This window comes from Homo sapiens, chromosome 9 (genome assembly GCF_000001405.40).
Source record: "Homo sapiens chromosome 9, GRCh38.p14 Primary Assembly".
Classification (NCBI taxonomy): domain Eukaryota; kingdom Metazoa; phylum Chordata; class Mammalia; order Primates; family Hominidae; genus Homo; species Homo sapiens.
The window spans coordinates 26,711,882-26,736,424 of NC_000009.12; the positions used below are offsets into that span (position 1 = coordinate 26,711,882).

General features: G+C 39.0%; 1 long non-coding RNA gene across 1 annotated transcript, besides 2 other annotated features; it reads right to left on the minus strand.

Moving 5' to 3' along the window:
* Positions 1-4,407: 4,407 nt before the first annotated feature.
* LOC105376000 (uncharacterized) lies at positions 4,408-13,062 on the minus strand. The gene is made up of 4 exons (XR_001746638.2): positions 12,883-13,062; positions 12,555-12,691; positions 7,027-11,950; positions 4,408-4,726 (listed from the first exon to the last, which is right to left on the minus strand). It is a non-coding gene; the product is annotated as an uncharacterized LOC105376000 (long non-coding RNA).
* Positions 16,318-16,819: an enhancer, noted in NCBI's record as "NANOG hESC enhancer chr9:26728197-26728698 (GRCh37/hg19 assembly coordinates)". NCBI's record gives its function as "activates a minimal SCP1, AML or CMV promoter by ChIP-STARR-seq in naive H9 embryonic stem cells {active_cell/tissue: H9 hESC(naive)}" and the evidence as "EXISTENCE:reporter gene assay evidence [ECO:0000049][PMID:30033119]".
* Positions 23,381-23,450: an enhancer, noted in NCBI's record as "active region_28247". NCBI's record gives its function as "activates an Ori minimal core promoter by ATAC-STARR-seq in GM12878 lymphoblastoid cells {active_cell/tissue: GM12878}" and the evidence as "EXISTENCE:reporter gene assay evidence [ECO:0000049][PMID:35858748]".

The window sequence follows — 24,543 nt, forward strand, 5'->3', positions numbered from 1 at the left end:
AACAGTCAATGGAGAAGGCAAACCTAAAAGGAAAAAGAGAACATTGAATAATAGTTTTATTATAAAAGGTAAATAACATTTAGAGAGTCAGTATACAGGGCAATCTCATCTAATGCAATTGTCCCAAATTTGTAAAAAAAAAAAAAAAATTGACTGTAAAGCAATTTTCTTTTAATCTAAACCTATTTTTCCATTGAGCCAAAGATGTGTTCCCCACAGGAAATATTTTAGCCCTAAGTCTAAATAAAAATCACATTTAACAATGCTACAAACACCTTTAAAGTCAATTAACTAAGGGAAAAGCTATAATATTCTGACAAAACAATAATCACACTCAAAATAATTCAGAAAATACAAATAAAGTCTCCAGAATAACATTCCCTTAAGGACAAATCCACACAGAAGCAAAATCACCTGGAGGGACTTCAACATAAGGCAGCCACAGTTTAAAAAAATTAAAAACCCATGCTCTTATCTAAATCTACTTGCAATTATCATGGAGTAACATTTGAAAGACCCTGGGGAGGTCCCATTCAAAATTCTTTCCTACACTGCTGTCTAGCATTTCATTCCTGGTGCCTTATTTCTTTGGGTTAAATACCTTTTTCCCCCAGAGTCTTCTTTCAAACTAAAATATCCTTCAGAAGGATAACTTGTTGCACCTTAGAAACCATGTTCTTCAAATTGTAATCTTTGGTCCATCTACATCAGAATCACTACCAGTAATGCTTATTAAAAAATTCAGATTCTTACCCCAATCCTAGACCTTCTCAATCAGCATCCCAGGGATTGGTCTGGAAGTCTGGAATCCTAACAAGCTCCCAGGGGCATGTTAACATTTGAAAATCACTACGTGGTGTGAATAAGGTTATCAAACTCTCCCTTTCCACTGTCCCACAGAGGGGAAGGAAGGCTATTACCTTTCCCTGTGTATATTCTGTACTCTGAGTGCAGAAGTGTTTATTCTCTGAGATGCTAGAGCCCTATAAGGATGCAATTTCAATATACTCCAAGGCAGGGGCTTTACAGTTTGTAAAGCATATTTTATTCACTCTCTATGTTAATCTTTGTAGCAATTCTGGAAGGATTATTTTTACATCAATTTTCTATATGAAAAAATAGATTTTCAGAGAGAATCTTTCCCAAGGTTACACAGAACTGAGATTCAAAACCACATCTTCTAATGCTAATTCTCATGTTCTGAGTTTAGCTTGTATCACTTGTAAAGTTAAATAGCCGTTAAAAGGGGGGGACAAAAAGAGTGAATGAAACTTAGACTGAAACTCAAATAATCAAAAGATGAGAGCACAGAATGTGATTTAAAAATCCTTATGTTTAACATTTACAATTCAAAGTAAATTGCACTGACTGTCTATATCTCAGTCAGATTGTAATACCACAAAAACACTTAACTCTCATCAAAGGCCAACAGAACATTGGTTGCTCTCAGCCGTTTGATTTTACACTAAGCTCTAAGGATCTTTTCCAGTCTAATGTAAAATTTTTAATGTTCTACTATGGAAAGAGCACAGTGAAACAGGGTGTATTTTGGCTCAGAAAAATAAAATCTTCTTAATCTAATTTGTATTAAGCAAAATTTTAAATATGCACAAGGTAGAAAAATAGTATAATGAATCCACATGTACACATCAGCCGGTCTCAACTATTATTGATTCTGCCATTCTTGAAAAAAAAAATAGTTTTTAAAACACCCCTTTAAATTATATAACAATATGCAAATTCAGAATTTCCCACTGCAAATCTTAAAATATTCCCTAAATAAAGAAGCAAATATGTATATTAACAAATAAATTTATACACTCATATTTTTAAGGGGAATTAATTGTTTTCCTTGTGGGAATGCATACAAAATGCCTGCTTACAGCTCAAAAATGTGTGCATTTTCACAATCTGTTTGATGGCAAGCACTAATGGTCAGAAAAAAATAAAATTTAGTCCTTACAGTCTGTCCTGTCTTTAAGCAAAATGTGTGCCATTTACTTGGGAGCTATATAACAGATGTGGATTTAAAAGGAAGAGACCAGTTATAAAGCACTAGGGGGAAGCTGTGCAGATGTCCCTGTTTTTAATGTGTTACTATGTGGGTCCAATTTATCTCACTGCAAGTGATCTAGGACTTCATGAAACAGCTCCAGATTATAGATCACCAATACTCTTTTTTAAAGGCCTTACATTATAAAAAGAAAAAGCATTCTTAAGCCTGGCCATTGAGGCACACAGGGTGGTGTCCTTGACACATTAAATCTGATAAATAAAATGGAGGGAAATGCTAGGGGGACCTTCATATCCATGCAAGGATATGGACTACAAAGACATGTGCAGACAGGGCTTATGCTTTTGCGGGAAGGCCATTTCTATGATCTCCTTATGCATTAGATAGTTCGTCATACCACAATCCTGAAATAGCTCCATTACTATTAGGATGAAAAATTACTCTTTGTTTTCCTAGAACTGTAGCTTTCTACAGACTTGGTAGCTATCACCTATTGAGGGCTTGTTTTGTGCCACACTAGGTCCTTTATGTATAAAGATTATCTCACTTAATTTATATAACCCTTTGAGATAGGTATTGTTAATGGGTTTCAGACATGAAGAAGCTGAGATTCAGTTATAAGTAACTTGCCAACTTGAAAACAGCTAGGAAGTGTCTGACCCAGGATCTGCACTTGGTTCTCTCTGATTCCAAAGTCTTAAGGTTCTAAAGCAGTATATATAGAAAGAGAGATCCTTTGCAATGTTGTTTGCAATATAAAAAATCAGCACCCACCAAAGTGTCCATTGATATTGAACAAATAAATTTTGACAAGTCCATATACTGAAATATACTCCTGTTTAAAAGATTAAAGATAAGGAATGTATTCACATATAACCTCTATTTATTTTGGAGTGAAGGAAGCAAATTTTAGAAGATTGTTATAATAGAATTGTGCATGGAGGTGGATTGAAAGATGCATAAAGTCACACAGCCAACTTACCAGAGGTATTAGTTTCATCTCATTATTTAAATTTTTTAAACTTTATTATCAGATAAAAAGGATAACATTTTTCCGTTTGAAACACTAAGTCCTTGCTCTTTTCTCCTCAAAAGTCAAACTGCTGGTCTGGTCCTGTCCAGTTTTTGAAAGCTGCATCAAGGGATGTTTTGTGGGAGATGAAGGATTTATCTTTATTCAGATGTTACCTAATTTGCAAAGCTTCTCCTGACTGCTGGAGGCAGAAATAGATGCTTCCTTTCTGGGTTCCCAGGTGAAGGGGTGGGTTGCCCCTCCACACCTGTGGGTGTTTCTCGTTAGGTGGAACGGAGAGACTTGGAAAAGAAAAAGACACAGAGACAAAGTATAGAGAAAGAAATAAGGGGGCCCAGGGGACCAGCGTTCAGCATACGGAGGATCCCGCCAGCCTCTGAGTTCCCTTAGTATTTATTGATCATTTTTGGGTGTTTCTCAGAGAGGGAGATGTGGCAGGGTCATAGGATAATAGTGGAGAGAAGGTCAGCAGATAAACACGTGAACAAAGGTCTCTGCATCATAGACAAGGTAAAGAATTAAGTGCTGTGCTTTAGGTATGCATACACATAAACATGTCAATGCCTTACAGAGCAGTATTGTTGCCTGCATGTCCCACCTCCAGCCCTAAGGCGGTTTTCCCCTATCTCAGTAGATGGAACATACAATCGGGTTTTATACCGAGACATTCCATTGCCCAGGGACGGGCAGGAGACAGATGCCTTCCTCTTGTCTCAACTGCAAAGAGGCATGCCTTCCTCTCATACTAATCCTCCTCAGCACAGACCCTTTACGGGTGTCGGGCTGGAGGACGGTCAGCTCTTTCCCTTCCCACGAGGCCATATTCCCTTTACGGGTGTCGGGCTGGGGGACGGTCAGGTCTTTCCCTTCCCACGAGGCCATATTTCAGACTATCACATGGGGAGAAACCTTTGACGATACCTGGCTTTCCTAGGCAGAGGTCCCTGCGGCCTTCCGCAGTGTTTGTGTCCCTGGGTACTTGAGATTAGGGAGTGGTGATGACTCTTAACGAGCATGCTGCCTTCAAGCATCTGTTTAACAAAGCACATCTTGCACTGCCCTTAATCCATTTAACCGTGAGTTGACACAGCACATGTTTCAGAGAGCACGGGGTTGGGGGTAAGGTTACAGATTAACAGCATCTCAGGGCAGAAGAATTTGTCTTAGTACAGAACAAAATGGAGTCTCCTATGTCTACCTCTTTCCACACAGACACAGTAACAATCTGATCTCTCTTGCTTTTCCCCACACCAGGACATCCGGAATACATTCCTTGTTATAACAGCTATGTCTTTGCTGTAAACATCAGGGTTATACCTTTGCTGAACTCTGAGATCCTCAAGGGAAGGAACCACACTTCTTTTACCTGGCACATGACATATGTTTAATAAATATTTCATGAGTGAATAAGTGAATGAGTGAAGGAAAGAAGGAAAAAATGTTAGAGATAATGTTTAATTTCAAAAAGCAGGTGATATGTTCAAAACCCCCATCGGAGAACTATAGTAGCCCATTATGACCCAATGAAAGCCTGAGCTGAAGGTACCGCTGTTGACAGAGCCCTGGATCGTGAAAGGAACCTGGACTTTGGGGTTCGACAACGGATACAAATCCTGGAACTGCCGCGTAGTAGTTTTGTGGGAAAGTCTCTTCATCTCTCTGAGTCTTAGAGCCCCCATCTGTAAAATGAATAGGATAATATTGTCATTTCAGGTTTGCGGTGAGGATGAAGTTGGATGAAATATGTATACTGCCTGGCACATAGTAGACACGCAGTAGGTATTTGCTGTCATCATTATTACACAGCCTATTAGGTGAAGAGTATTTGTGCTGCCTTCCAGGAGCCCAAGAGTACAAAATTAAGGACTGCTCTTAGGCTTTTGATCCAGCACTGACCATTCCTGTAACAGGAATGTCCCTAAATCCTCCAGGTGGTCAGATGGATGTCTTGGGTGCTCTGTCTCATGGGGCATCTACCAGACCAGTCTGACTCTTGGCCAAGGAAGAATGACATGGACTCAAAAAGTGTCTCCTAGAGAGAAAGTTGAAGTCTTTGGTGAACTTTAGAAGCCTTGGTTTCATGTAATCAAAGATAGTGCCCAACTTACAAAAAAAAAAAAAAAAAAAAAGGAAATATCAGGGACTTGAATGCATCATTAGTGGGAACAGATCCTGGACCAACCTTTCTTGTGAGGAGGGAGGAAGGGAGACAAACTGACAGAATCTATCAATGTGTAAAGTATCCATTACTATTTTTTAAATTTATGTTATTTTTTATTGTTGCATTGTTATTTTGCTTTTTTAAAAAAATTTGCTGCACATTTGGGTTTTCTTTCTTTTTCAACTTTCACTTTAGATTCAGGGGTACACATGCAAGTTTGTTACCTGGGCATATTGCATGATGCTGAGGTTTGGGGTACAAATGATCCAGTTACCCAGGTACTGACCACAGTGCCAAACAGTTTTTCAACCCTTGCCCCCCTTTCTCCCTTCCCCCTCTAGCAGTCCTCAGTGTCTATTGTTGCCATTTTTATGTCCAGGAGTACCCAATGTTTAGCTCCCATGTTAAGTGAAAAGAATTCAGCAATTGTTCATCTCAGAATGGATCCTATGGAAATACCTGCAAAAAATGTGCAATTCTACACAAATAGTGTGAAGCACTGTTTGCAGCAGTGAAAAATCAGCAACAAACCAAATCTGTAGGGAAATGATGTATCCCTCTAGTGGTATACACTGCAGCTGTTAAAATGAAATAGATCTACATATACTTCCATGATAAAAATGTGCAAGGCGTATGAATAAGTGGAAAAAGAAAATTGCAGGGCAACATGAGCTCAATTTTGTAAAAAATAATAATAATTATTATGTTTGTGTATAGAAAAAACCTGGGAATGTATATTTATTCCAAATTATCTACCACAGGGTGACATGAGGGGGCATTCACTTTCTACTCTATGTAGTACCTTAAACATTTAAATATTATAAATGAACATGCATTCCTTTGGTAACTAAAAAACAAAAAAATTATATAATTAAATCTAAATTATTAACAGAAATAAAGTAAAATATGGGATAAAGCGTGACTTTGTTAAAGTCTTAAACTATCCTTTTTGATGATTCTAGTCCCCAAGGTCCTTTGACTTTTAGCCAGAGAATTGGCCACGCCCTACAATTCTGTTAGCTCACTTGATAGGTCTGAGTGATGATAGGAGAATACCTAGAATGACTTTTTTTTTCTTTTTTCAAAATGAACAAAAGCCTAATGTACAACCTGGCTGTGAAATATGTATTGCCCCTTGGTTAAAGAAGTGACCTCCAATGGGCAATAATTCCTCTAGATTGAACATTTTGTTACAATTGTCCACAGAAACTTAAAGAGGTTATTTCCTTGATCTGCAGGGCATTCATTTTCTACTATAAGCATCCCATAGTGTAATGTATATACCCTACATATAGAAGATAAATAGCATTTCTCTATTGCTTTTCCCCTGAACTTCTTGATACAAGTGGTGGAAATGATTTGATCTGAATCACTTTTGAGCCTCAGCATTCAAGCGTTCCTAGCTGTTCTTCTCTCTCATTTCCACCACTGTTGCATATTCTTTCTTTAAATAAAAAAAAAAAAAAGTCACCCCCACTCATTTAAAATTGAAAAAATAAAAATAAAAATAAAAATATTTCCCATTTACTAAATGGATGAAATGGACAAAATCCAGTGTTGGTGTACTTTTGGGGGTGCAGATTAGTATGATTCTTCTAGGAAATAGTTTGTCAACATGTATCAGAATGGAAAATGTAAATCCTTTTGACTCAGCCATCTTACCCAAGAGTGAAAAGATGTATGCTTCATTAAAAAACCAGAAACAACCAGTACTGTCATTAGCAGGATAGGTTAAAAACCGTGGCATATTCAGACAATAAAACATTAGTTTTCAGATATAGGTGGGTAGAATAGTGTCCCCCCAACATTCATATTTACCTGAAACCTCAGAATGTGATCCTCTTTGGAAATAGGATATTTTCTGATGTAATTAAGGATCTCAAGATGAAATCATCCTGGGTTTAGGGTGGGCTGTAAATCCAACGACTGGTGTCCTTATTAAAAACAAAGGAGAGGACACAGAGAAACACACAGACACACACAGGGAAGAAGCCCATGTGGATGGAGGCAGAGATTGGAGAGATGCAGCCACAAGCCAAGAAACACTGAGGATGGTCAATATCACAGGAAGCCAGGAGAGTGGAATGGAACAGGTTTTCCTTCAAGGCCTCCAGAAGAACCAACCCATCAAAACCTTGATTTCAGATTTTTGGCCTCCTGGTTGTGAGAGAATAAACTTCTGGTTGTTCTAAGACACTCTGTTTGTGATAGTTTGTTACGACGGCCCTAGGAAACTAATACAGACACAATGTCTGGGATTTGTTTAAAAATGATCCAGTGATGAGGTGAGGAGTGAAAGAGAGATACAGATGAAACAAAATTAGATAATAGATCCATGGGGGGATTATATAATATTTTGAATGTTTTTGTATGTTTGAAATTTTCCATAATGAAAAGTTAAAAAGAAATACTATGTAAATTAAAATTCACTGGCATAGAAAGATATCTATGAATGTATTGTTCACTTGAATAAAATAAGTCACTAAGTTTGTTGGTATCTTATGATTTATCCTGAAGAGAGATTTCTGGAAGATGCGTATCACAATGTTATGCCTCCTCATTTCTGAGTGGTGTGATTTGAGTTGATTTCTTCTTCCTATTATTTGTTTGTATTGTTGGAATTGTTTACAACATGAATCATTTGTATTTTAAAAGATTAACCTAGTTTCAATAATAATAATATCCTGGCCGGGCTCAGTGGCTAATGCCTGTAATCCCAGCACTTTGGGAGGCCGAGGCAGGCAGATCACAAGGTCAGGAGATCGAGACCATCCTGGCTAACATGGTGAGACCCCGTCTCTACTAAAAAATACAAAAAATTAGCCGGGCATGGTAGCGGGCACCTGTAGTCCCAGCTACTTCGGAGGCTGAGGCAGGAGAATGGCGTGAACCCAGGAGGTGGAGTTTGCAGTAAGCCAAGATCACGCCACTGCACTCCAGCCTGGGCAACAGAGTGAGACTCCGTCTCAAAATAATAATAATAATATCCGTTCGAATTACACTATAACAAGAAATTCCTTCTGTACCTTCCCTATGCCTATGATAAGTCTGATATTTCTATTCCCATTTTAATGAAGATAGGAGCTCAAGGAAATAACCTCCCTAACATCAGTAAGGATTTTGGATCAGGATTCCAAATTAAGTCCAGGTTTTGCCAAAATGGAAGGTGATGTCATTGTCTGTTGTTACATTGGACATTTCCTTTTCACTCTCAACAGAAGACTTTAAGAAGTTTGATCCCCACTCAGACATCACCAGATACTGACCTGATAGTAGGACATTTGCCCAGCCTCTGGCCGTAAGAGATATCCTAAAGCCAGTGTTGTCTCCTTGTGAATAAAGAGGGTCATCCTTTACAACAGTGACATTCAAGTAGTGCTAGAGGAAAGAATGAGATTCAGGGATTCTCATCCTTTCAATCTCCCTCCACTCCAACCAGCCAGGCTGATGAAATGCAAGGAAAACATTCAAAGAGGGTTAAAATTCTAATGGGTAAAAGAAGTAACTCTATCAAGGAGAGTAAATACGTGACATATTTTCTCCCCACTCCCAGGTCTGTGACAGCCACCACTAACTGACTGCCATTCTTTCAAACTAAAGGTTGGATGACAATCCAATAGAGATCTGCTCCCAATAGTGTTGGTACACAAGGTGCAACCCATTTGCCATCCCTAGATCCTATTCCGAATCAAATTCTGATCAAAGGTCAAACAACCAGTTTCTTAGCAAAATAGCAAAGCAGAAGTGAGTGGCATCTTGGAAAAAGAGTACTGATGTCACTGCCAGTTTGGGATTAAAAAAAAAAAAAACACTCAGTATAGTCATTCATTTCACTGAGCATTTACTAAGAACCTACTGTGTGTCCGCTGGCTCACATCTGTAATCCCAGCACTTTGGGAGGCTGAGGCAGGTGGATCACGAGGTCAAGAGATCGAGACCACCCTGGCCAACATAGTGAAACCCCATCTCTACTGAAAATACAAAAAATTAGCTGGGTGTGGTGGCACGCGCCTGTAGTCCCAGCTACTTGGAAGGCTGAGGCAGGAGAATCACTTGAACCTGGGAGGTGGAGGTTGCAGTGGGCCAAGATCATGCCACGGCACTCCAGCCTGGCGACAGAGTGAGAATCCATCTAAAAAAAAAAAAAATTAAAAAAAAAAAGAACCTACTGTGTATCAGCTCTAGTGATGTAAAGAAAACTAAAACACAGTCTCTGCCCCTGAGAAGTTTAGAAGAAAAAGCAAATTGCTCTGGAAATTAGGAAGATAGACTTCAGAAAGACTATAAAACAAGATGCACAAGATTCTGCTTTGTGTGGGGGCTCCCTGTCCTTGACTAGAGCTACCAGTCTGAAGGTAGACTCGGAGTTTAGACTTTTCCAAAGCTACGATCCATGGACTGCTCCAGGCAAATGTACAGGCTTTATTCTTTGCTTTAACCAGAAACCCACAAGAAGTGCAAGAAATCCAAAGGTGCTGATTATCCGTGGATTATAGGAACAATCGCTACTGTCATTTGTTGAGCAAGTGTCAGGCACGTTTCATTTATAATCTCTAATCCTCACAACAACTCTGCAAGGTAGGTTTGTAATCCTCATTTTATTCATGAGGAAAATAAAGTTCCAAGAGGTGAATAACATGACCAGGAAATAGCCTTTAAAAGAGATTTAAACTTAGGTCTCTTTGAGTTTATGTGCTTTTCTACTTAGCTTTCCCACTTAGATACTACACGACTTCTGAAAAGGGAAAAAATATGTGTATTAGTGTGAACAGGCACACTAACATATGTATACGACATACACATGGGCATGTATCCAGAAAAGGCCAAAAACCATACAGTTACTGAGGAGGACAACTTTCTACAACTTACCAGAACCAAACAGTAATGGATGCCATTAACACACTGATACAGACATATAAATTGAAGAAAGTGGCTTCTGATTATAGGAAATGCTCTCCAAAGCATTTGATTTATAGACTCAAATCAGGAAATAATTTCTCACTGCATACCTTCTTTAGTGTTTACATAGCAACTAAGAACCTAATCCTACTTTTTGAAACTGCCAGACTCTAAGAAAAGAGAACAAGCAGCACATGAAATCATTTCAACAGAATAGCAGCAGTAACGTTGCCACCCTTGGTCTTGGTTGTGCCACTCCTTTCTTCTAAGTTACCAAGGGGCCAAGGGACAGAAAGGAAACAAAGATAACAGAACCAGCATATTTTGGAGAAAGGTGAGATGAGGGGCAAAAGGCTCAGTTCATCTGTCCAAAGATCTCTAACAGAAAAAAAAAAAAAAATTTCAGGAAACAAGACCAATCTAAGGTGCTGCAAAATGAAAAAAAAATCTTCACATCAAATAAGAGCTTTCTTCCTAGAATAAATAAATCCCTCAGATTAGGTAAACACCCAAAATTAAAACACACGATTATTGTATTTCTTTTGTATTGCCAACATGTTCCCGTGCTCCAGTCGAAGCAAAAGATTAAACATCCTTATATTTTTGTTGTGATTTTACTGCCAAATGCAAATATCTGACTGTAAGTAAGTCATTACTCTCCTGCTGTTGTGGTCTGATTAATTCTCACAATATTAGCCAGCAATTCATTTTATCCCTTGGCATCACAAGTCCAGTTGAAGGAGATAAGTAGCTGATAAAAGATCTCTGAGAACAGTTATAAATGATTCACTTTAAAAGAATAATAAAGCAGCCGCTGGATAAGTGCGGCTGAGTAAACCTTCCATACATTGCACAAAACTAATTTAGTTTAAAAAACTTCGGCAAATTATAGTCAATAATCTTCACTGTCACCCCGCTGCTCACAAAACTTTTGAGAAGAAACTTAATGCTGAAATGTAAATATTTAATTAGATTTTAATGGTGAGGTTTATTTTTCCTAAATCTGGTCATCTGTCTCAATTACATTCCCCATTTTTTACAGTTAACCAGGAATTGTCATTCCCATGGGCTTTAGGCATGTTTTCTTTTTTCTAATTCCTACTTAGCATTTGCTTTCTTCACAATGTAGTTCTTGCGGGAAAGGGCTTGGTTTGTTCTGTTTCGGAAAAAAAAAAAAAAAAAAGCAACATTTGGGGAAAAAAAAATACATGTTCTGAGCAATGCTTTTAAAGCTAATTGTCCTTCTGTCCTAATAATAAAGAATCTTCAGCAGCTAAACAATTAATTGTCTTTTTTCTACCTCACTGAACAGGGTAATTAATATGCGTTTGTATTTATGTAACGCCTAAGTAAAGCAGTTCTCTATGTACTTGGAGATTCTAAAGGTATATTTCTTTCCAATGTATTCTGTAGTTTTAATTTTGCACGAATTTGCAGAAATCAGTGAAACGTAACTTGTTTATGTCCCTTCCTCCAAAGCCAATATTAAAATCTGTCTTTCCTTCTGTTAAGCATAAAACTCTTCTGAACTGTTATGGGGGAGATAACGAAACTGTTTTCCTTAGCCTCTGTTCTTTGTTCCAATCATCAAGCTACATATCCCGCTTCAGACCCACCCTTCTGTGCTGGGCTTTGTGATGGGGCAGGAATTCTGAGAACCACCTTGCCAGCTGCTTTGTTAGACTCAGCCAACAGGGGGCACTAAGGGAAGCCGGAGGGTGGAAGGGACTTGCCTGTCCTGTCGGCGTCATGTTGCTATGGGCATCACCCCAGCAGCGTTTCTTCACCCTGGCAGCAGCAACTTGCTCCTGTAGCAGGATTTGATTCCAGTTTGTAGTTTTTCCTGCAATTACAAAACAGCCTCGACTCACGCTCTCGTAGACACCAGCACCAGCAAGGAGTGCATCTTCCCCAGAGTTCTGGGTTCCAGCCCCAGGGGGCCTTTCCTCCAAGCTCCTAGGTTTGACGATTTCAACCTCCTCGCAGACATTTGTTCCCCCAACCCAATGCCTTGTCACTGCTTCCCGAAGCTGCCACATCTGTGATTATCTTAATGTTCACTTTTTGCATTTTCAGTTCATTAACACCTTTAGTGCAATTTTTAATATTCAATTTAGTAAAATGAATCGGTGTGGTTTTGGTCTCCTGGTCTGATCTTGACTGCTACACCCTTGCTTACTTTTAAAGCAGGTGCACCTGAGTTGGAATTCCAGCACTGCCACTTACTAGCTGTGTGATCTTGGCCAATTACTTACAATTTCTGAGCTTTGGTTTTTTTCTTATGCAAAATGGGTATAATATCCTAGAGCTGTTATGCTTAACGAGATGACCTATGTCAAGTGGCTTAAAGACAGTAAGGCCAAAAAATGTTGGTTCCTTTCCTCTTCACCTTCTGTATGTTCAAGTTCTCCTGTTTACAGCAAGTAAGAGTCATGCTCTTTTCTTACCAAAAATAAACGTGTGCTTCCTCCTTCATTACAATACATACTGTATTGTGCCCATTGTATCTCTGCAGTCTCATTCCAGTTAGCTCCTCCATGGTGCCTTAATTCCAGGTGTGATCATCACAATAACTCCTTCAAGCCTGTCAATACATTTTTATGTTAATCATATTCTTTTCCATTGCTTTCTGGCAGCCCAGCTTCTAATTATTTTGCCAATGCTCATGACATTTTTATCTAAAACATTTCTGCATTTCATATTCTCTTCCCATATGGTTTCTGGAACTGTCATTCCCCCCCACCCCCATCTCATTTACCACACACCTTTACTCACCTTTACTCCTCACTCCCCACTTACATTCTCTTACTTTCTGGAAATTTCACATATTGGTATATTAATTCCACATCAGGTCACACATGTCTTTTAGAAACATCAAATTCCCGTCTGCCCATTCACTTTTCCTTTGTGAAGCTTTTAGGGTACGGTTCATAATAGGCCATTGGCAAATATCTGCTGAATAAAAAATTAAGGAAATCTCCATTTATTCCAATCATCAATCTTTTTTGTTCCACCTATTTCAAATTCTTTGGCTTTTACCTTTTGAAAGCTGCTATTTCCTCACTCTGAGCAAGGAAGAATAAACTTGGGTCATATTCCCCTTTCTGTTCTACTCTTTCCATTAATAGTATAATACAAAAACAAATCTTCAAAGACACAAAGAGATATAAGATATTCAAAGATATAAGGCAGTGTCCTCATGTCTAACCCTCTTTTACTCAAAAAGCACTCTACTTTCAATTTTTCTTGTATGTTCCATTGTTTGATAAGACACTTAGGCACAGTATCCACATGGACAAGTCATATTTAGTTATTGGTATTCAGTTATAGTTTTTGTAGCTGTATGCATGTGTGTGTATATATATAAATTAAATATTTGGTGAGTTGGTCTCATTTTCTCAAAAATCAATTTGTTTATATCTACCTTATTGCCACAAAGGTGGTGAGGCAGACAGTCACTGTTAAAAATGGACACTGTTTCCATATGATTATTTTTTTTTTTTTGCTCAGTGTGATTGATCTCCTTTTTTGTGGCTAGGTTATGCCAAACTTAAAGTTTCACAGTTTACTACTTCTATATTAATATTCCTGCTAAAAATAGTCTAGCATCTCTGGTTTCTAGCATTTCACTCTCATTCCCTCTTTTCAAACAAAATGGCATGTTCACATATTGGATTCGTCATTTGTTTTTTTCCACAGAACTCTATTTTTAAACCGCCAGCAAGGAATTCCCCAGAGCTTTGATGAATCAGGTGTTGATTTAATTGTTGCAAGACATGAACCAGACAATTAAAACCATCTGAGTAATAGCCCTCCTTCACAACCATTTTACAGAGAAGGAAACCAAGGCCCAGAGACCTGATGCCAGCTGGCCAAATGACCAAGTGGGAACGGCAGAACTGGGAAGATGTTTCCATCCCCTGAATTTCAAGCCAATGTTTTTTCTCTTTGTTTTTATCTTGTTACCTCTTTGGAAACCCCTAAGCCTTAAGCCTTCTTTCAAATATTGAATGTCTGAAGGGAACTATTTCATTATTTCTAACCTCTTTTCATTCTGCTTTCATGCATAATTTTTCTCTTTTTCTTTCCACCTCACATTGTATAAATAAAAATGTTGATATACCCATGACTCTTTCTCAGCACCACACTGCCCCAACACTGCTACTATGCACAACCTTCTTAATTAAGAGGAAATTCAAGTAAAATAAGAAAATTAAGAAGCTAAAAACATTTGCAAGCATAGAACTTCAAGTTTCAAGATGATGGACTGAACATATAGCATACTCCCTCTCCCTTTACAAATCAAAAGATTAAATGTTTTTTAAATAAACATAATATGCATGTATACGATGCTTGGAAACAAGAAAGGTCACTTCCAATAACCACAAAAATGTAGGAAATTTCTGAAATACATAAAGCTTCTGAGAAGCAACAGAGAAATTCTGCATACCCTTTACAATAGTTCATTAATTACTCCATGACTAAACCACAGCATATTCCTTTATATTATTTTGATAATATCATATATAATTATGTGATATAGTTTAGGAGCTAAGAAGAATGAGAAAAGGAGTAATATTTATATATTATTTTATTTAGTCCTAAAAGTAACCTTATAGATTTAGTGTTATTATCCCCACCTTGCAGATGAAGAAGTCGAGTTCCAGGGAAGTAACCTAAGACCTCCTTGCTAGTAAGTGACAGAATGAGGATGGGAACATGGGTATTTCTGGCTTTAAAGCCTGGGCAATTTCCACTACACCAAGATGTCTCCTCACACAGTGGAAGGGCAAACACTTATTGGACACTGCCATATGACAGGCATGGGACCAGATACAACATTATTAATGACAGTGAATGGTACAGGTAGTTTGGTTTGCCTGAGGATTTTCAAGGAAGAATGTTAGTAAGGCAAAGATGGCTAATCCCATTTACAGGAAGAAACCCAAGGAATGCAGAGGACAAATCAGTTGATTAGAGTAACGGAAATCACCAGCTCCATTCAAGAAGAGATAGTCATTCATCACCAGTTAATGGTCACCAGCCACAGTCTCACTCCTAGTCCCAACTTGGAGCTAGAGTAAACCTTTGTGTGATGTCCAGTCAGAGATTAGGATGGCAGTGCTGTGGGTCTGGAATTGATCAAGATCAAATCCATGATCTTGTTCTCATTAGTGCATGCCCTAATACTCTTGAGTGGTCTCATACATAAGCCCCATTTCATTTTCTTGAACATATAAAATCATCACTGAGGGAATTATGACAACTCCCAGAAAAAAAAAGAAGACAGACACAAATGCCAGTGAGTCTTCCATCCTCTTGGAAATCTTAGCAACCTCCACAAAGTCTGGCGGTATGTGGTATCAGTAACTGGCTTGGAGCTCAGAAATCTCACAGATATGTCTTCAAGAGCTCCTGGGAGATTTTAATCAGGAGTTTTTGATTCCCACTGTGACTCATCCTGTGAGCTTGGTTTTATGCAGTAGTATCAGAATCTCATTTTAGGTACTCTCCTCAGGAAGAGAGCTCAACAACATGGAAAAAAGAAGGAAGAAAGGAACTAACATTTATGACGTGTCTACAATGTGCTCGACTCAGTGTTCAGTGTTCTAACTACGTTATCTCATTTAATCTGCACAAAAGTTTGATGAGCTAAGGCAGAGTACCTCATTTTGACAGGTGGTGAAACTGAAAATGTGTGAGGTTGAGAAACTTGCTCAAGTTCACACAGTTAGTAGGGTCATGAAGGTTGGTAAGCTTCAACAATGAGTCTATTTGCCAAAGAAATGTATGCCTTTCTCATTAAATTACCTTGAATATAAAAGTGAATACCACTAAGTAATTTTTGTTATTCTTCTGCTAATCTCTGACTGGAAATAATTTGATATAAAACATCATTTTGCCTTTTTGGGCAAAATTCTGTCTAAATACAGAAAATATTGCATCATTACCTAGTAAATTGCTTTCTTACACACCATAGTTTATCATCTGCAGATATTGTCAGGGCTTGATATTCGAGTCATTATGCTTATGGGATTTAATTTTTAATGATGCAAAAATTATGCACAGTATACCATCATTTCTCTCCCAAAACCAGAATCTGATAGCTAATAATTGCTCCTTACTTCGTCTGCTAACGCTTCATGATATTAATTAGAGTGTAACTGGAATCAGAAAAGTGACTCTCTGAAAATGGCCTTTATGGATTCTGTGCTCATTTTCTTCTAGTAACTTCAAGATTAAAATTGTTAGGTACACATCAACAATTTTTTCCCTGACAAACTCTCTACAAACAAGATATAAGGTCTAGGAAATCTGGCTGGTGACCTTTTCACTTCATGCAAGTGCAAATAACTCCGTAGTTGTATTAGTTGCATAATGCTAGCTACTGTAACAGTAAGCCATCAAATTAATGGCTTATCACAATAGACAGAAGTAAACCTCTATTTATTCTCGTGTTAATCCCATGCAGGTGTTCCCAGCAATGGATAGCTTTCTTCCATATGGTAATTTACAGATCTAGGTTTCTTCAATTTATGGTACCGCAGGTCCCTATGGCCTTAGAATACTCTGCCTGCAGGAGTGTGTGTAGAATGTTCAAGAGAAACATACATATATAATTAATATATGTGCAAATAAATAAGAATATCTATCTCACATGGGTTATTGTGAGGATTAAAGTCATATACATATATTTATCTTGCATCATAAATACATAAACATAATTTTAATCTTCATAAGAACCTTCTGAGTTACAGAATTTTATCATTTACATTTTACAACTGAAGAAACTGAGTTAATGTGGAGTACTTTAACTTGCCTAAAATCACTGCTTCAGTGTCCATGGCTGCTATGGTAAATTACCACAAACTTGGTGATTGAAAACAACAGAAATTTATGCTGTCCCATTTCTGGAGGATGGAAAATCAGTATCACTGGACTGAAATCAAAGTGTCAGCAAGGCCATATTTCCTCCAGAAGCTCTCGGAGAGAATCCATTCCTTGCCTCTTACAGAATCTGGTGGCAGCCAGAGTTTTTTGGTTTGTGGCTGCATAACTCGAAATCTGCCCCATTCTTCACTTTGCCACCTTCTCTCTCTCCTTCTCTCTCTCTCTCTCTCTCTCTCTGTGTGTGTCTGTGTGTGTGTGTGTGTGTGTGTGTGTGTGTGTCTGCAAAATTTCCTTCCAACTCCCTCTTAAAAGGACATACATGATTACATTTACAGCCCGACCTAATAATCCACAATAACCTCCCCGATCTCAAGAACCCTAACTTAATCATGTTACAAAGATTGTTTTTTCATATAAGGTAACATTTACAGGTTCCAGGAATTAGGACATGAATATTCTCTGAGTATTCATTTTCCAGCCTACAGCAATCACCCAGCTGCCACATGGCAGGTCTGGGAATTGAAGCCAAGAAGCATGCTCCATAATCCAGAATCTTATCCATTTTCCTAAACAGTTTCCTTCAGCCATACACCAATTCAGCTATCATAAAGCAGAAGTCATGTAACTATTTCCACAAAAAGAAATTAATGACAAAATAGAAATGCAGGCCTTTACCTCCTCCGCATATCCTGCCATCTCTCCACCTGTCTGGGCCTTATTCTTTTATTATTACTATTATCATTATACTTGAAGTTCTGGGATACATGTGCAGAATGTACAGGTTTGTTACATAGGTATACACATGGCTTCGTGGATTTCTGCCCCCATCAACCCGTAATCTACATTAGGTATTTCTCCTAATGCTATCTCTCCCCTAGCCCCCCAACCCCTGACAGGCCTCAGTGTGTGATGTTCCCCTCACTGTGTCCACCTGTTCTCATTGTTCAACTCCCACTTATGAGTGAGAACATGCGATGTTTGGTTTTCTGTTCTTGTGCTAGTTTGCTGAAAATGATGGTTTCCAGCTTCATCCATGTCCCTGCAAAGGACATGGACTCATCCTTTTTTATGGCTGCATAGTATTCCATGGTGTATATGTGCCACACTTTCTTTATCCAGTCTATCATTGATGGGCATTTGGGTTGGTTCCAAGTCTTGCTATTGTGAACAGTTCCCCCAATAAACATACATGTGCATGTGTCTTTATAGAGAATTATTTATAATCCTTTGGGTATATACCCAGTAATGGGATTGCTGGATCAAATGGTATTGCTGGTTCTAGATCCTTGAGGAATCGCCACACTGTCTTCCACAATGGTTGAACTAATTTACACTCCCAACAACAGTGTAAAAGCATTCCTATTTCTCCACATCCTCTCCAGCATCTGTTGTTTCCTCACTTTTTAATGATGACCATTCTAACTGGCGTGAGATGCTATCTCATTGTGGTTTTGATTTGCATTTCTCTAATGACCAGTAATGATGAGCTTTTTTTCATATGCTTGTTGGCTACATAAATGTCTTCTTTTGAGAACTGTCTGTCCGTATCCTTTGCCTACTTTTTGATGGGCTTTTTTCTTGTAAATTTGTTTAAGTTCTTTGTAGAATCTGGATATTAGCCCTTTGTCAGATGGGTAAATTGCAAAAATTTCCCCCATTCTGTAGGTTGCCTGTTCACTCTGATGATAGTTAATTTTGCTGTGCAGAAGCTCTTTAGTTTAATTAGATCCCATTTGTCAATTTTGGCCTTTGTTGCCATTGCTTTTGGTGTTTTAGTCATGAAGTCTTTGCCCATGCCCATGTCCTGAATGGTATTGCCTAGGTTTTCTTCCAGGGATTTTATCATTTTAGGTCTTACGTTTAAGTCTTTAATCCATCTTGAGTTAATTTTTGTATAATATGTAAGGAAGGGGTCCAGTTTCAGTTTTCTGCATATGGATAGCCAGTTTTCCCAACACCATTTATTAAATAGGGAATCTTTTCCTCATTGCTTGTTTTTGTCAGGTTTGTCAGAGATCAGATGGTCATAGATGTGTGGTGCTATTTCTGAGGCCTCTGTTCTGTTCCATTGGTCTATATTTCTGTTTTGGTACCAGTACCATGCTGTTTTAGTTACCGTGGCCTTGTAGTATAGTTTGAAGTCAGGTAGTGCAATGCCTCCAGCTTTGTTCTTTTTGCTTAGGATTGTCTTGGCTATACAGGCTTTTTTTTTGGTTCCATATGAAATTTAAAGTAGTTTTTTTCTAATTCTGTGAAGAAAGTCAATGGTAGCTTGATGGAGATTGCATTGAATCTATAAATTACTTTGGGCAGTGTGGCCATTTTCACAATATTGATTCTTCCCATCAATGAGCATAGAATGTTTTTCCATTTGTTTTGTGTCCTCTTATTTCCTTGAGCAGTGATTTGTAGTTCTCTTTGAAGAGGACCTTCACACCCCTTGTGAGTTGTATTCCTAAGTATTTTATTGTCTTTGAAGCAATTGTGAATGGGAGTTCACTCATGATTTGGCTCTCTCTTTGTCTGTTATTGGTGCATAGGAATGCTTGTGATTTTTGCACACTGATTTTGTATCCTGAGACTTTGCTGAAGTTGCTTATCAGCTTAAGGAGATTTTGGGCTGAGACGATGGGGTTTTCTACATATACAATCATGTCATCTGCAAACAGAAACAATTTGACTTCTTCTCATCCTATTTGAATACCCTTTATATCTTTCTCTTGCCTGATTGCCCTGTCCAGAACTTCCAATACTATGTTGAATAGGAGTGGTAAGAGAGGGCATCCTTGTCTTGTGCTGGTTTTCAAAGGGAATGCTTCCAGCTTTTGCCCATTCAGTATGATATTGGCTGTGGGTTTGTCCTAAATAGCTCTTATCATTTTGAGATATGTTGCATCAATACCTAACTTATTGAGAATTTTTAGCATGAAGGAGTGTTGAATTTTATCGAAGGCCTTTTCTGCATCTATTGAGATAATCATGTGGTTTTTGTCATTGGCTGTTTATGTGATGAATTACGTTTATTGATTTGCATATGTTGAACCCGGCTTGCATTCCAGGGATGAAGCCAACTTGATCGTGGTGGATAAACTTTTTCATGTGCTGCTGGATTCAGTTTGCCAGTGTTTTATTGAGGATTTTCACATCAATGTTCATCAGGGATATTGGCCTGAAGTTTTCTTTTTTTGTTGTGTCTCTGCCAGGCTTTGGTATCAGGATGATGCTGGCCTCATAAAATGAGTTAGGGAGGAGCCCCTCCTTTTCTATCGTTTGGAATAATTTCAGAAGGAATGGTACCAGCTCCTCTTGGTACCTCTGGTAGAATTTGGCTGTGAATCTGTCTGGTCCTGGGCTTTTTTTGGTCGGTAGGCTATTAATGACTGCCTTAATTTCAGAACTTGTAATTGGTCTATTCAGGGATTCAACTTCTTCCTGGTTTAGTCTTGAGAGGGTGTACGTGTCCAGGAATTTATCCATTTCCTCCAAATTTTCTAGTATATTTGCATAGAGATGTTTATAGGATTCTCTGATGGTAGTTTGTATTTATGTGGAATCAGCGGTGACATCCCCTTTATCATTTTTTATTGTGTCTATTCTCTATTTTCTTCTTTATTAGTCTGGCTAGTGATCTATCTTTTTGTTGATCTTTTCAAAAACCCAGCTCCTGGATTCATTGATTTTTTCATAGGTCTTTTCGTGTCTCTATCTCCTTCAGTTCTGCTCTGATCTTAGTTATTTCTTGTCCTCTGCTAGCTTTTGAATTTGTTTGCTCTCATTTCTCTAGTTCTTTTCATTGTGACGTTAGGATGTTGATTTTAGATCTTTCCCGCTTTCTCCTGTGGGCATTTAGTGCTATAAATCTCCCTCTAAACGCCGCTTTAGCTGTGTCCCAGAGATTCTGGTACATTGTATCTTTGTTCTTATTGGTTTCAAAGAACTTATTTATTTCTGCCTTAATTTCATTATTTACCCAGTAGTCATTCAGGAGTAGGTTGTTCAGTTTCCACGTAGTTGTGCAGTTTTGAGTGAGTTTCTTAATCCTGAGTTCTAATTTGATTGTACTGTGATCTGAGAGATTGTTATGATTTCTGTTGTTTTGCATTTGCTGAGGAGTGTTTTACTTCCACTTATGTGGTCAATTTTAGAATAAGTGCAAAGTGGTGCTGAGAAAAATGTATATTCTGTTGATTTGAGGTGGAGAGTTCTGCAGATGTCTATTAGGTCCGCTTGGTCCAGAGCTGAGTTCAAGTCCTGAATATCCTTGTTAATTTTCTGTCTAATATTGACAGTGGGGTATTAAAGTCTTCCACTATTATTGTTTGGGAGTCTAAGTCTCCTTGTAGGTCTCTAAGAACTTGCTTTGTGAATCTGGGTGCTCCTGTATTGGGTGCTCCTGTATTGAGTGCGTATATATTTAGGATAGTGAGCTCTTCTTGTTGCATTGCTCCGTTTACCATTATGTAATGCCCTTCTTTGTCTTTTGTGGTCTTTATTGATTTAAAGTCTGTTTTATCAGAGACTAGGATTGCAACCCCTGCTTTTTTTTTTTTTTTCTTTCTGTTTGTTTGGTAAACTCCCTTTATTTTGAGCCTGAGTGTGTCTTTGCACGTGAGATGGGTCTCCTAAATACAGCACACTGATGGCTCTTGACTCTTTATCTAATTTGCCAGTCTGTGTCTTTTAATTGGGGCATTTAGCCTTATTGTTATGTGTGAATTTGATCCTGTCATTAGGATGCTAGCTGGTTATTTTGCCTGTTAGTTGAGGCAGTTTCTTCATAGTGTTGATGGTCTTTACAATTTGGTATGTTTTTGCAGTGGCTGGTACTGGTTTTCCTTTCCATATTTAGTGCTTTCTTCAGGAGCTCTTCTAAGGTAGGCCTGGTGGTGACAAAATCTCTCAGCATTTGCTTGTCTGTAAAGGATGTTATTTCTCCTTCACTTATGAAGCTAGTTTGGCCAGATATGAAATTCTCAGTTGAAAATTCTTTTCTTTAAGAGTATTGAATATTGGCCCCCACTCTTTTCTGGCTTGTAGGGTTTCTGCAGAGAGATCCACTGTTAGTCTGATGGGCTTCCCTTTATGGGTAACCTGACCTTTCTGTCTGACTGCCCTTAACACTTTTTCCTTCATTTCAACCTTGGTGAATCTGATGATTATGTGTCTTGGAGTTGCTCTTTTCAAGGAGTATTTTGTGGTGTCCTCTGTATTTCCGGAATTTGATTGTTGGTCTGTCTTGCTAGGTTGGGGAAGTTCTCCTGGATGATATCCTGAAGAGTGTTTTCCAACTTGGTTCCATTCTCCCCATCACTTTCAGGTACACCAATCAAATGTAGGTTTGGTCTTTTCACATAGTCCCATATTTCTTGGACACTTTATTTGTTCCTTTTCATTCTTCTTTCTCGAATCCTGTCTTCACACTTTATTTCATTAAGTTGACCTTCAATCTCTGATATCCTTTCTTCTGCTTGATCAATTCACCCACTGATACTTGTGTATGCTTCACTAAGTTCTCATTTCGTGTTTTTCAGCTCCATCAAGTCATTTATGTTCTTGTCTAAACTGGTTATTCTAGTTAGCAATTCCTCTAACCTTTCGTCAACGTCCTTAGCTTACTTGCATTGGGTTAGAAATGCTCCTTTAGCTCAGAGAAGTTTGTTATTACCCACCTTCTGAAGCCTACTTCTGTCAATTCATCAAACTCATTCTCCATCCAGTTTTGTTCCCTTGCTGCTAAAGAGTTGTGGTCCTTTGGAGGAGAAGAGACATTCTGGTTTTGGGAATTTTCAGCTACTTTGCACCGGTTCTTTTTCATCTTCATGGATTTATCTACCTTTGGTCTTTGATGTTGGTGACTTTCGGATGGAGTTTTTGTGTAGACGTCCTTTTTGTTGATGTTGATGCTATTCCTTTCTATTTGTTAGTTTTCCTTCTAACAGTCAGGCCCCTCTGCTACAGGTCTGCTGTAGTTTGCTGGAGGTCCACTCCAGACCCTGTTTGCCTGGTTATCACTAGCGGAGGCTGCAAAACAGCAAAGATTGCTGCTGTTCCTTCCTCTGGAAGCTTCATCCCAGAGGGGCACCCACCAGATGTCAGCCACAGCACTCCTGTATGAGGTGTCTTGTCAACCCCTGCTGGGAGGTGTCTGCCCATCAAGAGACATGGGCATCAGGGACCCATTTGAGGAGGCAGTCTGTCCCTTAGCAAAGCTCGAGCCCTGTACTGGGAGATCTGCTGCTCTCTTCAGAGCCAGTAGGCAGGGACATTTAAATCTGGTGAAGCTGTGCCCACAGCCACCCCTTCCCCCAGGTGCTCTCTCCCAGGGAGATTGGAGTTTTATCTATAAGCCCCTGACTGAGGCTGCTGCTTTTCTTTTAGAGATACCGTGCCTAGAGAAGAGGAATCTAGAGAGGCAGTCTGGCTACAGAGGCTTTGCCAAGCTGTGGTGGGTTCCGCCCAGTTCGAACTTCCCCAGGCTTTGTTTATGCTATGAGGGGAATACCACCTTCTCAAGTCTCAGTAATGGCAGATGCACCTCCCCCAACCAAGCTTGAGCATCCCAGGTTGACTGCAGACTGCTGTGCTGGCAGTGAGAATTTCAAGCCAGTGGATCTTAGCTTGCTGGGCTCAGTGGGGGGTGGTATCCGCTGAACTAGACTACTTGGCTCCCTGGCTACAGCACCCCCTTTCCAGGGGAGTGAACAGTTCTTTCTCACTGGCATTCCAGGCACCACTGGGGTATGAAAAAAAACTTCTGCAGCTAGCTCAGTGTCTGTCCAAACAGCCACCCAGTATTGTACTTGAAACCCAGGGCCCTGGTGGTATAGGCACCCAAGGGAATCTACTGGTCTGCGGGTTGCAAAGACCATGGGAAAAGTGTAGTATCTGGGCCGAAATGCACCATTCCTCACAGCACAGTCCCTCATGGCTTTCCTTGGCTAGGGGAGGGAGTTCCCTAACCCCTTATGCTTCCCGGGTGAGGTGATGCCCCAACCTGCTTTGGCTTGCCCTCCGTGGGCTGCACCTACTGTCTAACCAGTCCCAATGAGATAAGCCAGATACCTCAGTTGGAAATGCAGAAATCACCCGCCTTCTGCATTGATCTCACTGGGAGCTGCAGACCGGAGCTGTTTCTATTCAGCCATAATATTAAAATATTATTCAATCTATAACATTAAAGTATTAGGATTATAATGTAAGGTTCCATGACATAAGCCTAAAGTAAGAAGCAAACCTTTTTGTCCTCTTTTGTCCCTAAATAGAGAAGTGAAATGACTAGTAGGTGAAAAACAGATGTAGAAAAACAGCAAAAGAAGAACAAAACAGAAACTATATAATCTCAACTTGATAATAGAAAATTTATTTTAGTCATTAGATTCTCCAAGGTCAACACAAAAGAAAAAATATTGAAGGCAGCTAGAGAGGAGGGCCAGGTCACCTACAAAGGGAAGCCTGTCAGGCTAACAGTGAACCTTTCAGCAGGAACCTCATAAGCCAGAAGAAATCAGGGGCCCATATTCAACATCCTTAAAAAAAATTCAAACC